Consider the following 16,500-nt stretch of genomic DNA (forward strand, 5'->3'; position numbering starts at 1 on the left):
CCGCAAAAGGGAAGCAGGAAACAAATGTAGGGTCTGAGTACGGCAGGAGGCTGAATCTCAAAAGAGATACCTCTGCGTAAAACCAGGACCCTAAAAGATGACCCACCTTAGTAAAGGGGGACTGGAGAGGGGACTTGCCTTGCAAAGACATCTGGCAAGGAAACCTGCCTGTATTAATGTTGGTTCTGGATAAAGGAGGAAAAAATTCCTCTGAGAACTCATAAACCACTCAAGCCTCACAGAAGTTTTAGACTGATTCACATTTTGGGAGAATTAGCTGCAAAGACCACCCAGGGTAGCAGTTCTCAGAGAAGCAAACACACATCCCCTCTGGAGAAATTCACCTTCAACTCAGGCCTCAAAAGAATTTCTTGGCCGGGCATGGTGGCTCACGCCTGTAATCCCAGCACTTTGGGAGGCCAAGGCAGGTGGATCATGAGGTCAGGAGATCGAGACCATCCTGGCTAACACAGTGAAACCCCGTCTCTACTAAAAATACAAAAACTAGCCGGGAGTGGTGGCGGGCACCTGTAGTCCCAGCTACTCAGGAGGCTGAGGCAGGAGAATGGCATGAACCCAGGAGGCGGAGCTTGCAGTGAGCTGAGACCGCACCACTGCGCTCCAACTTGGGCGACAGAGTGAGACTCCATCTCAAAAAAAAAGAATTTCCAAAGAAATTTCCATCAAATCAAACATGAGCTCAAAATCGATCACAAAATGTGGAAACAAAGACACTATGAGCAAAAGTTAACAAAAACAAAATCAGACCACCCTGAACTATAAACATTAGTATTCTCAGATGCAGATATACGTGATATGTTTTTTAAAAAGGAATTGAGCATCAAAAGTATGAGTAAGAATCAAGAGACTATAAAAACTGACTGGGTAAATTTAAGGAAAAAAACAGAACTTTTACTATTCATTATTCTTTTCTTTCTCCTCCACTCCCTCCAAAACTTTTTTTCTTTTCCTTTTTTACTACTTTTTTTTAATTTTTTATTTTTTGAGACAGAGTCTCACCCTGTCACCCAGGCTGGAGTGCAGTGGCATCATCTCAGCTCATCGTGATCTCCGCCTCCCGGATTCAAGCGATTCTCCTGTCTCACCCTCCCGAGGAGTAGCTGGGATTACAGGCATGCACCACCACGCCCAGCTAATTTTTGTATTTTTTTGTGCAGACAGAGTTTCACCATGTTGGCCAGGCTGGTCTTGAACTCCTGGCCTCAAGCCATCCGCCCTCCTCAGCCTCCCAAAGTGCTGGGATTACACGCGTGAGCCACTGCTCCCGACCTTAGAACTTTTAAACATAATTAAATTAACTGAAATTTAAAAATCATACTTCGATGGGACACACTGCATCTCAGAAGAGTCTGAACTAATGAACTGAGAGCCTGAGAGGAAGAAATGTGGCAGAGTTTAGAAAGAGAATAAAAGAGAAGTTAGAAGACATAAAAGATAAAGTGAGAAGACTTCACCATATATCTAATGAGAATTCCAGAGAAGGAATACTTAAGGAGATCATGGCTGAGGAAATCAGAAAGCACAGCAAAATATGAGTAGCATAAATTTTTTTAAATCCACACACAGATTTTAGTGAAACTGCACAGCACCAAAGAATGACAAGATATTAAAAACAGCCAGAGAGAAAAAAACAGACTATCTATTATACTGGATTGAATTGTGTCCCCAAGAAGATATGCTGAAGGTCTAATCCCTGGTACCCATGAATGCGATCTTATTTGGAAATAGGGTCTTTGCAGATATAATCAAGTTAAGATGAGGTCATATTGGATTCGGGTGGGCCCTAATCCAAAACTGATGTCCTTTTAAGACGAGGGAAATTTGAACACAGACACATGGGGAAATGCCTGTGACAATGGAGGCTGAGATTGGAGTGACGCGTCTACAAGCCAAGGCATGCCAAGGATTTCTAAGCATCAGAATCCTGGAGGAGGCAAGAAAGGATCCTCCTGTAAAGCCTTCAGACAGAGCAAGGCCCTGCTAACACCTTCAGTTTGGACTTCTAGCCTCCAGAACCGAGAAAATAAATTTCTGTTGTTTGAAGCCATCAAGTTCATGGTAATTTGTTACAGCAGCCCTAAGAAGTGAACTAATACCACCTCGATTTAGGCTGATAGCTAACTTCTAAGTAGAAGCAATGGAATCCAGACAACAATGAAATAGTCTTTGAAGAACTGAGGGAAAATACCCAGTAAAACTATCTTTCAAGAATGAGAAGGGAATAAAAACCCTTTCAGACTAACAAAATACACAATTACCTCCAGACTCTCATTAAAGCAACCTCCAACAGAGGAACTTAAAGAAAGAAAATGATAAACAAGGAGAAGTGTGAGCAAAGGAATGGTGAGTAAGAAACAAAATGGTAATTGTGTAAGCTTAAACAAATACTGACTGCCTAAAACAATACGAATTTCTAACCTCTAGGATTAAAAATATTATATCAGCAATACATACAGTGCATCTTTTTCTTTTTTTTTTTTTTAATAGAGACAAGATCTAGCTCTGTCACCCAGACTGGAGTGTAGTGACACAATCATAGCTCACTGCAGCATCAAACTCCTGGGCTCAAATGGTGCTCCCTCTGCAGCTTCCTGAGTAGCTGGGACTACAGGCACGCGCCACCATGCTCAGCTAATTTTTTTAAAAATTTTTGTAGAGACAAGGTCTCTTTATGTTGCCCAGGCTAGTTGTGTATTCCCAGCCTCTAGCAATCCTCCCACTTCAGCCTCCCAAAGCACTGGGATAACAGGTATGAGCTGCTGCGCTCGACCCACATCTTATGTGCCTGGCAGTGATCTGAGTGTTTTATGCATATTAACTCATTTAATTCTCAAAATAACCTTGTGACGTAGAAACTATTATTTTGTCTACCTAACATATAGTAAAGCTGAGGTAAAATGAGATTAAGTAATCTGGCCAAATTTATATAATTAGTAAATAAGTTTGAATGAAACTAGTCAGAATTCAAGTGTCCAAGGTTCTTTCATTGTTTGACAGAATGACAAAAGGCACTGATTGGCTTAAGCTCAGCTAAAAGTCTGTTAAGATAAAGAGTCTGTTTAGATTTCCAGAGCAGCCACTGAAAAAATAAAAATTCAGTATATAACGTCCAAACTAGTAAAGGGAAAAAACCAAGTGAGGAAAAAAATCTACAAGAAGATCAAAAAGAGAAAAGAAATATACAAAAAGTGGGTCACAGTGACAATTATAATGAGTGGCAGAAATAAATCCAGATCCACGTTATTGGCCACCTGTGCTTCCTCTGCCGGGAAGTGTCTGACCTTGTAGTTTGCCCATTTGGAGGGTGAAGAATTTGAGTGAAAGAGGCCAGACACAACAGTACATACCACACGGTTCTATTTATATGAGGTTCAAGAACAGGCAAGACAGAGATCTATGGTGACAGAGGTCAGAACGGTGGTGAACGATGGGAGTAGGCACTGACTGGAAGGAGATGGGGTGAGGAAAATGATCCGTATCTCAATCAGAATGCTGGCTACACAAGTGTATGTATTTGTCAAAACTCACTGAACTGTATGCTTAATATCTAGGCTCTTCGCTGTGTGTAAATTTTGCCTCAAAAAGAAAGATTGGGGTGGTATGTGAACCATTTAATCCTCCTAACAGGAGTAATTGGTTTCACATACTTTACCAATAGCAATTTGCACGTAATTGTACTCTAAGTGCAAATTTATTTTACACACTCAAAAAGCAGGCTCAAATTCTCTTCTTGGCAACATATTTCAGCAAGTTCAATGAAAAATATGTTAAGTATCTGAAAAGAAGGCTATCCGGGAATCCCCTATTTACTCTGAACTAACTAAGGGAAAATACTAGGACATGCTTGGGGAAAAAAAAAGTTAAAGGTTAAACCATAAACAGCAGTTCAGCGGTATGGCTGTATAGGCCAAAGGCCAAAATTTCACAAATAGAAATTATCACCTCTCGCTTTTCTGTAATAATGAGTATAGATGTACATGATCAATCCCAGCACCAAACAATTGAGAACTTAATACTTGGTCTTGGTACCATCTTCTCCTTTCCCCATTGCTCCTGTCTGAAAGGAGAGGGAGGTGGGAGAACAAAGCCACCAAACTGCCAGTATGAACGCTGACTTTCGATTCCAGCCCACCTTCTACCTCCAGACTAGGTGGCTCACAGTGTGTGTGTGTGTGTGTGTGTGTGTGTGTGTGTGTCACACACAGAAGCCCAGGCACCTCCAGACTAGGCTGCTCACAGTGTGTGTGTGTGTGTGTGTGTGTGTGTGTGTGTCACACACAGAAGCCCAGGCACAAAGCAGAGACAAGGGACATATTTCCTACCTTTCTATTTTGGGATTGCAATATGCCTCTTCAATAAGTTCCATGTTGTCCAAATCCTCCCATTTGCCTCTATCCAAGAATTGCCATCGATACGGCAAATGGAAATGAACTCTATGGCACTTATCTGAAATAAAAACATAAAGGAGTAAGATAGCTGGGCAATACACAGCATGCCCTAGCCTTGTGGTTGTCAACAGGTGTGGTGCTGCCCACTGACCTGGGAACATTCTGAAATGTGTGGTGGAGTCTGTTTTTTCAGTGCCGGCATGCCTGAGCATTTAGATACAGAAACACTTTTTGCATTTTATTATATACATTGCTATGATTTAAATGTCTGTCCCTTCTAAAACTCTTGTTACAACTTAATCGCCAATGTGATAGTATTGAGCGGTAAGGCCTTTAAGAGGTGACTGGGTCATAGATAAATGGATTAATGGGTGTATGGGTTATCATGAGAGTGGAACTGGTGGCTTTATAAGAGGAAGCGAGACCTGAGCTAGCATGGTCAGCCCCCTTGCCATGTGATGCCCTGCAGCACCTCAGGACTCTGCAGTCCCCACCAGCAAGAAGGCCCTCATCAGATGCAGGCCCTTGACAACCTGGACTTCTCAGCCTCCATATAGGTAAGACATAAATTCCTTTTCTTTATAAATTATCCAGTTTCAGGTACTCTGTTATAAGCAACAAAATGGACTAAGACATACATCTTCCTTCTTTATGTCTCACTTTTTAACAGGACCTTACTTTTTTTTTTGAGACAGGGTCTCACTGTCACCCAGGCTGGGGTATAGTGGCACAATCACGGCTCACTGCAGCCTCAACCTCCCAGGCTCAGGTGATCCTCCCATCTCAGCCTCCTCAGTAGCTGGGATTACAGGTGTGCACCACCACACAGCTAATTTTTGTATTTTTTGTAGAGACAAGGTTTCACCATGTTGGCCAGGCTAGTCTCGAACTTCTGGCCTCAAGTGATCCACCCATCTTGGCCTCCCAAAGTGCTGGGATTACAAGTGTGAGCCACCACACCTGGCAATTTTTTAGAAATATGTATGTTGATGGTTTATATCATCTATGAACTTTATTTAATGAGAGTAAGAAGCTGATTATGCGAAGGTCAAAGGTCTCATCACTGCAGGGGGCAGTCTGACTCCTCAATATCACTCTCTGTGTGGCAGGTGGACGGGCAGAGATCACAGCAAAGATGGAGCCAGATTCATCCCTACCAGAAATCCATCCCAACCCAACACGTCCAACTGAAGGCAGGTCAGCAGCATGGTTACAGGCTCCTTGCATCTCTTCTGGCTAACAACATGCTCACTCCTTCCCTGACACTCTCCCACCAACATCCACACAATGGCCCAGACCTATGGGTTCCGGTGAGCTGCTCCCCTCACCAACCCCATGTTCCTCCTGGGCAGCCAGATCCTCACTTCTCTCATCACTCCAAGCACACGCTGCCTGCCCTGTCTTTGCTGGTGCCTGCCACCACCGGGAACGCCACCCACACCCTCTCCCTACCTGTCAACAGCCTATGTGAGGTTCTGCTATATCCACACAGAGAAGTGTCATGAGAGGACAGGGAGAAAGGAGAGAAAAAGAATGAGAAGCTCTTTGCACTGTGACATGCAGCTAGCTACCTCTGAGATATTTGCTCTAAGGCAGGAAGATAGAGAACAAGGTGCAGAATGCCTCTATTTGGGTAAAAAATAGAAAAAAAAGTAAGTTTAGACATATTCTAACTAAACACACACACATGCACATATTATTTCTTGCAGAGGGAACCTGGTAACTGGAGACAAAGTTATAAGCAAAGACTTCTGTCATTTTGGCATGTTTTGAACTTTGAACCACAAGAAGATATAATATATTCCAAAAATTATACATCTAATTAAGTGAAAAAGGTAGAAAGCCATGCTAGCGTGCCTGTGTAAGGAAACTGAACAGACACATACCCTTGTACACGTATACAGTCTCGATGAAAGGATATTCAAAGAATGGATAATTATGGCTGTTTCTTGGAGGGGACTTGAGTTCTGGAGAAAACTGGTGTGAGGGCGACTTATTTCTTACTGAGTGTCCTTTGTACATTTTTAATTTGTATTTCAAAATAATAATGAAACTAGCTAATTTGATACTTGAAAAAAATTAAAATTTTCTAAAATTGTGTGCATTCTTTCAGGCACATCTCAATGCCACTTCTTTCCCAGGCTCTGCAAAAGCACCTGGTGGGGGAAGTCCCATGGAGGAGGGTGGGAGGGTGCCTGGGATTGTGTGATCAGGTATGGGGCCGAGCAGACAGGGCAGAAGAGAGTGCCAGGCTGAGAGGACTGAGGGAACAAGGTGGGGACACCCAAGCAAGGAAACTCCTCTAAGTGCAACAAGGCTGAAAACAGCCACACCAGGGACTGAAGATCTCCTAACTTGTCCAGTTTGAACATGGACAGCTCACTAGGTCAGGAACCTCTTGAACTCTCTCAAGCAGGTGTGTACACAACAGATAATTAAAGGGCTGGGCCAGGAAAGACAAATAGCTATGGTCCAAGGTCACAACCAACCAGTTCCTGTTCCCTCCCTGAAAGGCATTAGAGGAAATGATCAGGGATGAGAGCAGAAGGCCACCCCAGGGCATCCCAGTAGTCAAATGCTATACCTACAAACCCCAGGCACAGGTGTACTATGGACAGCCTGAGACAGGATCTCCCTGCAAACAGGCACATCCTGGGGAAGGTGCACTCCTTAGGGCCCTCCAGGCTGATGCTTCCTCAGGAAGGACATGGGGGCCAGGGGAATGCACTATAATCAAACAGCAGGCCTGAGGCTTCCGTTCTGAAACAAAGCTGAGCTATAGACCACACTGTTCACAGCTGGAAGGTGCCCAGGACAGGAGGCACCAGGTAAGCCACTGCAGCCACAGCAGCTGGTGAGAGCCTAGTCCCAGCACAGCGGTAGAGACATAAGGTCCTTTCCCTTGTCCTGGTCTTCCTGTCCCCTTTCTCAACTTCTTTTCCCGCCTTCTAATGTTCCCTACCTCACGTTGGCATTCCAGGGGCTTTCTAGGACGTGAGTCATAGAAATCAAATCAATTTGGCAGACAAAACACCACATCCACCCCAGCCCTTCCTCCCTATAGTCCTTGAAATAACAGGCCAGAGAGAATAATAAATCCAAAAGCACTGGAAAACAATAAAAAATACCATCAAAAGACCAGAATTATTCAAGAATTGCTAAAACTATGGAGCAATGAGAATCAAATAGATATAAAAAGAAGAGAGAAAAATGCAGACAAAATGTGCAGAACATACCACAGAAGTAGAAAAGATCTGGGGTCATCACAGATTCAGAGTCAGATGAAGCCAGGAGCAAGAACGATACCCAGGCCAATCCCAATGAGAACAATGGGAGCCCCTGGCAGAGGCACTCCCTTCCCCTAACTTGCTTGTGTGAAGGAAGCTTGCTGTGCACTTCCTAGTTAAACTAAGTGTGAATATAAGGGTTAGAGCAAGAGAAAAGCAAATGAGACGGCCACCAAAGCCCCCGTCCCAGTCCTAGGCTACATGCCAGCCTCCCACCTCACCAAGCAGGACCTTCTGCCTCTTCCCCACCATCACTAGAATGAGGGCCTGGAATCCAAATCAGCCCCATGGAAATCAACCAACAGGTATACGGGATTCTCAAGCACCAACGTGACAGACAACCAAGAGTCGCTCAACACATGAAGGAAAACAATTCAAAGAGAGGCAGCAACTCACACAGAAACAGCGATACCTAAGGACAGAATGATCAGAGTTAAGAGAACAAGTATTCACAGCTAGACTTCAACCTAAAAGCCTAGCCCCTGAAACTTCTAGGAAAACACCATAAGAGAAAACATTCTGTAGGCTTAGAATAGGCAAATATTTTTAGGATACAAAAAACACAAACCATAAAAGAAAAAAAATATTATCTGGACACCACTATTAAAATACCTGTACACTATAAAGGAAATAAACATGAAAGACTGGAAGGATATATCTTCAGTATAAATCATATACAAAACACAACTCAATAAGAGATCAAATAACCCAATAAAAATGGGTATAACTGTCACTAAAGACCAATACTGTATGATTCCATTTATATGAAATATTCAAGCAAATCTATAGAGATGGAACCTTCATCTGTAGTCATCAGGAGCTGGGGGGAGGGAAGACTGCTAATGAAGACGGGGTTACTTTGGGGGTGTTGAAAATGTTTTCATATTGCCTATGATGATGGCTGCCCAATTCTGTGTTAATATTACATATGTAAGTGGACTTCAAAAAGTTCATGGAAAACGGAATTAAAAGATAAAAAATATAAACTTTATTTCTCAATATAAGCTCCATCAAGTTCAGGACACTTTTGTAAAAGACGATACCAGCCATTTAGTCCACCCATAAAGAACCAAGGGTCCTAGGAATTTAACCATGTCAATCCAGTCTTTTTTCTACATTATTAACTGAAGAAAAATGGGTGCCCTTTAAAGATTTTTTTTCTTTTTTTTTTTTAGACAGAGTTTCACTCTGTCGCCCAGGCTGGAGTGCAGTGGCACGGTCTCGGCTCACCGCAACCTCCACCTCCCGGGTTCAAGTGACTTTCCTGCCTCATCCTCCCAAGTAGCTGTGATTACAGGTATGTGCCACCACACCCAGCTAATTTTTGTATTTTTAGTAGAGACAGGGTTTCACCATGTTGGCCAGGCGGGTCTCAAACTCCTGACCTCAAGTGATCCACCTGCCTCGGCCTCTCAAAGTGCTGAGATTACAGGCATGAGCCACCATGACCGACCTAAAGATTTTTAAGATTAGAAAACAAAAAGAAGTCAGAAAGAGCCAAATCAGGACTGTAAAGTGAATGCCTACAGATTTCCCATTGAAACTCTTGCAAAATTGCCCTTGATTGATGAGGAATGAGCAGCAGCCTTGTGGTGGTGGAGAAGGACCCTCTGGTGAAGCTTTCTGGGCATTTTTTTGCTAAAGTTTTGGCTTTCTCAAGACACTCTCATCATAAGCAGATGTTATTGCTCTTTGGCCCTCTAGAAAGCCAACAAGTAAAATGTCTTCAGCATCTCAAAAAACTGTTGCTGTGACTTCTGCTCCTGATCACTTCTGCTGTGACTGGGCCACTTCCCCCTTTTAGGAGCCATTGCTTTGTCTCCAGGATCCTACTGGTAAAGCCATGTTCCATCTCCTGTTACAACTCTTCAGAGAAATGCTTCAGGATCTTGATACCACTTGTTTAAAATTTCCATTCAAAGTTCTGCTCTTGTCTGCAGCTGATCCAGGCAGAATGGTTTTGGCACTCATAGAGTGGAAAGTTTGCTCAAATTTAATTTTTAATTTTTCTGGCAGACTGTATAAACTGAACTAATCAAGATGTCTGGTGTCAGTTACTGTTTGTGCTGTTAATCACTGGTCTTCAATTAAGGAACAAACAACATTAATTTTTTTTCTCACAAATTGATGTGCATAGCTCCATCTTTAACATTCTCTCATCCCTTCTTAAAATGACTTACTCATTTATAAACTGATTTCTTTGGGACATTGTCCTCATAAACTTTTTTGTAAAGCATCAATGATTTTGTCATTCTGCCACCCAAGAGTCACCATTAATTTGATATTTGTTCTTGCTTCAACTGCAGCAAAATTCATGTTGCTTTGATAGGGGCTCTTTCCAAATTGATGTCTTATCCTTCTTAGTGCCTCAAACTAGATCCTCTTCAGATATGTTATTACAAGTTAGTATGAATTTATTTTGGTGCAAAACTTTTGAACTCCATGCATAATTTTTTCATAATATGCATTTTCCACAAACTTTCTGAAGACCCCTTTTGTGTGTGTGTGTGTGTGTGTGTGTGTGTGTGTGTGTAAAGCTGTTATATAAAAAATAGGCAAAAGATTTGAGTAGATACTTCACAGAAAATATACAGATGCCCCAAAAGTACATGTAAATAAAAGTTAAACATCATTAATCATCAGGGAAATGCAAATTAAAACCACGAGACATCATCACTCACTGATTAGAATGGCTAAAACTTAAAAGACAATGCCAAGTGTTAGCAAGAATATACAATAACTGAAACTCTCACACGTTGCTGGTGGGAACATAAAATATTATTATCTATTTTGGAAGACAGTTTGGCAGTTTCTTACAAAGTCAATCACATGACATAACCCAGTAACTATGTCTGTCTTTTACCCAAGAGAAATGGAAACATATATCCACATGAAAACTTATACATAAATATTTATAGAAGTTGTATTTGTAAAAGCCAAAAACTGGCAACAACCCAAATGTTCATCAACATATGAATGGATAAACAAATTGCAGTCAATCATGCAATGGAATACTACTGTGCAATAAAAAGAAACAAATGATTGATATGCCAGCATGACTGAATCTCAAAAACATGCTGATGAGAGAAGCCAGGCACAAGATAATACACTGTATGATTCCATGTATGTGAAATTCTAGAAAAGGCAAATCTAATCTATAGTGACAAAAAGTAGATCAGGGGTTTCCTGGGCGTGACAAACTAGGGGGTGAGGATTAATTATAAAGGAGCATAAAACAATGTTTTTGGAGGGGGTTCCATATCTTGATGGTAGAGATGGTTACATGAGCATATATACTTATCAAAACTCAGTATACATTTAAAATGGTACACTTTAGCTTGTGTAAACTATAGCTCAGTAATATTGCTTTCAGAATACACATATATATGTGTGTGTATATATATATAGCTCATATTCCTTGACCTATCATTCCATTCCCCAGAATCTATCTATGGAAATACTCACATATATGTACTTCAATGCTCAATGGAACATCATTATAATCAACTACTACACACTTGTTTTTAAAATGAGGTGGACTTTCACATACTGACATGGAAAAAAAATCTCCAAGATACAATGTTAAGATGCAGATTGAATAATAACATTATCACATGCTCCTATCTGTTTAAAAACATATAAAACAAATATCACAACCACACGGGAAGTGTTTACCTTTGGGCAAAGACGATGGAGGACTTCATGCTTCACTCTGTATTACTGAACTGTTTTACAGAGTGAAAGTATTCATTAATTGCTTGGGTAATTTTTAAAAACTGAAAATGAAACAAGAAGTTTGGTGGTTGTCAAGGGGAGTCACCAAATTTGAGAACAAACCTTTCTTCAGTCAAAGCCCAGGACAGCATTTAAGAAGAAAACAAAGGTTTAGTGAAAATACAGACAGGCACATGCACACCAGAATTGCTGCTTCTGATAAAAAAGAGATCACTGGATTGTTCACTGGATCAATACAGAAAAAAAACCCCAATTTAAACAACTACTCATCCTCCAAGAGCTAACACAAGTGTTTCCTTCGCAGTGAGGTCCTTTCCAGTTTCTAAGGGAGCTCTCAGCCTATCATCACCCTTATCTTTGTTCCCACCAGGCTGAGCAGTTCCCTGTCCTGTGCAGGTCTGTGACCTCATGCTAAGCTGACCAAGGCTCAATACTTGACACTCATTTGGTGCATGAACCAGTTATGTTCCCAAAAATGATCCACATTTAATTTCTGAAAACTCAAAGAATTGCTACCATCTTCAACTCCCCAACAAAATACCTTCAGAATTGGTTTGGCCAAAGTGCCAAGCCCTGATCCTCTCCGGATGGGGTAGAGGTTTGGTAGGGGGTGACTTCAGAGCACAGCTCTGGGAATGACAAGCAGTTACCCCTCCCACAAGTGGAATGAAGGAGCCTCTTCCAACTTACCTTGAAAGCTACAACTTTTCCGGATATGGTACAAACAGATCTGATCACCCTCCTCCTGGCTAAGAGTGTTTGGGGACACAGAACCTGAACTGTCTTTTCTTTCTGCAAAGAAACACCACAAAGATATGTCAGCTTCTGATATGGGGTATAAAAGAGAGTTAAAGAGGATTCATTCAGTTCTCTGCACAAAAGTGGGCAACGCAAGCTCACAAAGCCCTATCGTGTTTGGGGTGAAAGTGCTCCTACACAGGTGGATCCTCTACTTTTTAGTGACAGGCTGGCAGCCTGACGCCACATGGCTGCTTGCCAGATCCAGGACTCCATGAAGGGGACTCCTTTCTCAACTCTCGCTGTCCATTCAATTCACTAGGAGACCCATTTAAAAACACAAGTGCCTGATTCTGCCCTAGACTGACTTCACTCCAGACTGACTGAATCAGAACCTCCAGGGGTGGGACTTGGGACACTTTTGTAATAAGGGGAGAACCATTGTCTTACATGTTGAGGCATCTTACAATTCCTTCTATGCCTAAGGTTGTGATGACCCCTGAGGGCAAACAGAGGGCTAATTTTATAAACTAGATTTGAAGCTATATAGCAAACATTCATTAATGAACTATCAGAATTGGGTACTAATACCAAGACAAGAGTAATAAAAAGAAAGTCCACATTTCAAAATGAAGCCCCTTTAATTAATTTTAGGTTAATTATCAGGATCTTAATATAAAAAGGGCACATAAATCCTTTCTATTTTACCTTTACTAGCACCATGCCAATGAGTCTTTACCTATGACATTTACCCTCACCCAGCTAACCCCAATGAGCACATAAAATTAATTTGCAATCCCTATTTAGTGTCACCTGTCGTTATTCATCTTCCCTTTTCTTTTTATAAGCCCCTGAGATACTTCACTCAAAATCTAGGTCTATGGGACCCCGAAGGTCATCTCCCTCTCTCCCGACGATGGTGACTGCTCTTGCAGCTGACATCACTGGCAGTGGATCCCTCCTCCCTTTCTGACAAGGCTATAATCCAACTGTATTCAAGGCTGTAAGATACTCCTAAAGATCTATTTAATACAAAACCTGTCTACTTCTAGGATTCCTACAACTGAAAGAAATCAACAAAACATAATTGAAGACAATGTAAAGAAAAAACAAATTCAAAAGACAACTTTTAAATATAAAAGTCAGGTACAATTAGAGTGGTGCTTTTGTTTGCAGGTAGTCCTGGCATGCAACTGACATTCTAGGAAGTGCTCTATTAAAATTGTAGCCACCACTACAGCTGAGAGGGTTTGATTCTGCTCTGAGGGGAGGCATGTCTCAGCTTCGCCAAGGAATAACCAGCACCCAAGACAGCGCCCAGCATGTGGCAAGCACACAAAGGTGCTGAATGAAAGAGTGGGTAACAGAATGGCCAGCCAATGGCTGATACTGTGAAATCCAATGAATGCCAGTGTATCATCATCTCCCTGACAGACCACATTATTCATCTGCCCCACAAGAGGTACTCAAGAAATGCTTATTAAATAAAAATCTCTGTTCAAAATCTGCCTGTCACTAAACCTGACAGTCTTTTTTAAAAAATAAGTATCCTAGCACACTCATTCATTCAACAAATGTCAGAGTACCTACTGTGGGCCAGGCACTGTCTAGGTGCTGGAGATGAGCAGGGAACAAAGCAAATTTACAATGGCTCAAAAACTCTACTTATTGATGTCAGGAATACAGCCAATGCCATAATTAAGGTATGCTTCTTTCACTCATTTTGTAAAATCAGAATACAACACAAGGAATGCTCCCCAGAGCTGTGCAGCACAGCATTCCTAACTTTGGGTTCCTCCCTGAAGAGCATGCTCTCGTGGGGGTGAAGATAGGGGTGACTGCACAGGGGGAGGAGCCAAGTCTCCCATTTCAGTGCAGACTAGGCCCATCCAGAATTCACTCACCATCAATACCAATTCACATTTGTCTAGGATGGCATGCTTGATCAAGTCTATGATTTCAACTTATCCTCACCCCCGCACTCCCTGCCTTGTTAGGAAAGCATCATCAACTCCATTTTACTAAAAGCAGCACCAGACTTGCCCAAAGTCACACATTCCATGTAATGGCTAGCTGGAATCCGGGAACCCCCAGCCCAGGACCTCCCGTGCTCCCCACCAGCCTTACCACTCCCCACCAGCCTTACCAGAAGTCCCCTGTGGGACAAAAAGAGGAGGCACTCTGCTGGGGGCAGAGCTCTTATTCTTGATGTCATGTGCATTTCTATAAATGGTAGGCAGCCTGCTCACCAGGTCTGAGCTCATACCCAACTTCTCCAATTTTTCCAGATTCTCAGAATTAGAGAAATCATGGGATCTCTTACAGCTAGTGCCAAACTTGCATTCCCCCTGTAAAAAATACTGGCAGATATGGAGCTTGATGCACTGCTTTTGAAAGGCACAAGAGCCGTGGGGTCCATCTCCTTTGTTGTAATGTTGGCAAATCTGTTGACAGAGAGGGAAAAAACCACCAGTTCAGGAAGGTCTCACACGACACCACCTCCCCAGTGGCCAGTCCACTGGTGAGAAAGGGGCTTCACAAGCTGTGATTCCATCATCCACACAGAACACAGCTATTACATCCCTCACTCTAGATGACGGCTGCTAACAAATGCCCTTGGCTAAAAGGGGAACGAAATGGAAAGGAGACTGCACAGAATCAGCCCCTCCACTGGGAAAATCCAAGAACTTCAAAGTGACTAGAGCTGCTCCTTTCACATGAGACAATGCAAATCAAATGGCTACATCCTAAGGACCTCTACAATCTACCTATACTCTTCCCACACTGACTCATCAACTCTCCCTTCCCCAAGCCCCAGTTTTCTCTGAGCTCTCTTTTCTACAATTCAAAGTCAAAGAGGCTCTGAGGGCTTAAAGCATCTTAGAGAAGGCCAAATACCACCCTTTCATTTCTCAATGGAGCACACTGAGAGGCTCAGAGAAGTTAAAGAATCAGCCCTAGTCGCACAGCTATCCATGGCATCTGTGTGATGTTTGTGGAACTGGGTTGTTGGCAAAGCTGGCCCTTGAACTTCACTGCTCCTTCTGCTCCACATTCCAAATTTCTGCAGGTGGAAACCAGACCAGAGATCACCAAGGGCCCACCCATTCCACTCCCAGTCATTACATTTCCCAAGACACAGGAATGTCCCCAGGGAGCTGTGGAACCCAGACTTCCCCTGGCACTCACTTCTGGCAAAAGCCAGGGGTCGTTCTGAAACAAGAGTTGGCATAGCTCATTATAGCTCAGGTGGTCAACGCCATGAGTTCTCAGCACACTCAGGTTGTGTTCGGTTGTCAAGCTGTGACTATTCCTACAGTTCTTCCTGCAAAGAAGCAGAGCTGGTGTTATATGTCGAATTGAGTCTCCTCAAAATTTCTATGTTGGAGTCCTAACTCCCACGACCTCAGGATATGGCTCTATTTGGAAAGAAGGTCTCTAAAGAGGTAATTAAGTTAAAAAGAGGTCCATAGGGTGGGCCCCAAACCCACAAGACTACTGTCCTTATAAGAAGAGATTTGGCTAAGCACGGTGGCTCATGCCCGTAATCCCAGCACTTTGGGAGGCCGAGGCAGGAGGATCACGAGGTCAGGAGATTGAGACCATCCTGGCTAACACAGTGAAACCCCGTCTCTACTAAAAATATAAAAAATTAGCGGGGCGTGGTGGTGAGCGCATGTAGTCCCAGCTACTCTGGAGGCTGAGGCAGAAGAATGGCATGAACCCGAGAGGCGGAGCTTGCAGTGAGCCACTGCACTCCAGCCTGGGCAACAGAGTGAGACTCAGTCTCAAAAAAAAAAAAAAGAAGAGATTGGGGCACAGACACACACAGAGGGAAGACCATGCGAGGACATGGTGAGAAGGTGGCCATCTACAAGCCAAGGAGAGGGGCCTCAGAAGAAATCAACCCTGCCACCTTGATCTCAGACTTCTAGCCTCCAGAACTGTGACAAAATCGATTTCTGTCGTTTAAGCCTCCTAGTCTATGGTACTTTGTTATGGCAGCGCTGGCAAACTGAAAGCTGATAAAATCAGTCTTCATGACAATTTTTCAGAAACACTTCCTGACAGTATTTACAAGCACCAGAGAAAAACCAGCATGTAGGCTGGGTATGGTGGCTCACGCCTATAATCCCAGGACTCTAGGAGGCCAGGGTGGATGGATCACTTGAGGTCGGGAGTTCGAGACTAGCCTGGCCAACATGAAGAAAACCTGTATCTACTAAAAATACAAAATTAGCCGGGCGAGGTGGTGCATGCCTGTAATCCCAGCTACTCAGGAGGCTGAGGCAGGACAATCGCTTGAACCCAGGAGGCGGAGGCCGTGGTGA

At 42.9% G+C, this 16,500-nt stretch overlaps 1 protein-coding gene across 9 annotated transcripts in view, besides 2 other annotated features; it reads right to left on the reverse strand.

Moving 5' to 3' along the window:
- The window catches only part of PARP12 (poly(ADP-ribose) polymerase family member 12), a 39,203-nt gene that overhangs the window by 18,792 nt on the left and 3,911 nt on the right, over nt 1-16,500 (reverse strand). For all 9 annotated transcript variants that reach the window (NR_130117.2, XR_927514.3, NM_022750.4 and 6 more), the window contains exons 2-5: nt 15,359-15,494; nt 14,316-14,613; nt 12,122-12,223; nt 4,344-4,467 (exon numbers count right to left, since the gene is read on the reverse strand). Coding sequence is in view for 7 of the 9 variants with exons in the window: in NM_022750.4 (NP_073587.1) it covers nt 4,344-4,467; nt 12,122-12,223; nt 14,316-14,613; nt 15,359-15,494 (660 nt within the window). In the remaining 2 variants the exon portion in view is untranslated. The remainder of the gene's footprint in view (nt 1-4,343; nt 4,468-12,121; nt 12,224-14,315; nt 14,614-15,358; nt 15,495-16,500) is intronic.
- Nucleotides 3,655-3,855: a silencer, noted in NCBI's record as "peak6786 fragment used in MPRA reporter construct". NCBI's record gives its function as "represses an SCP1 promoter by STARR-seq MPRAs in K562 erythroleukemia cells {active_cell/tissue: K562}" and the evidence as "EXISTENCE:reporter gene assay evidence [ECO:0000049][PMID:32103011]".
- Nucleotides 9,215-9,415: a silencer, noted in NCBI's record as "peak6788 fragment used in MPRA reporter construct". NCBI's record gives its function as "represses an SCP1 promoter by STARR-seq MPRAs in K562 erythroleukemia cells {active_cell/tissue: K562}" and the evidence as "EXISTENCE:reporter gene assay evidence [ECO:0000049][PMID:32103011]".

Source organism: Homo sapiens, chromosome 7 (genome assembly GCF_000001405.40).
Source record: "Homo sapiens chromosome 7, GRCh38.p14 Primary Assembly".
Taxonomy (NCBI): domain Eukaryota; kingdom Metazoa; phylum Chordata; class Mammalia; order Primates; family Hominidae; genus Homo; species Homo sapiens.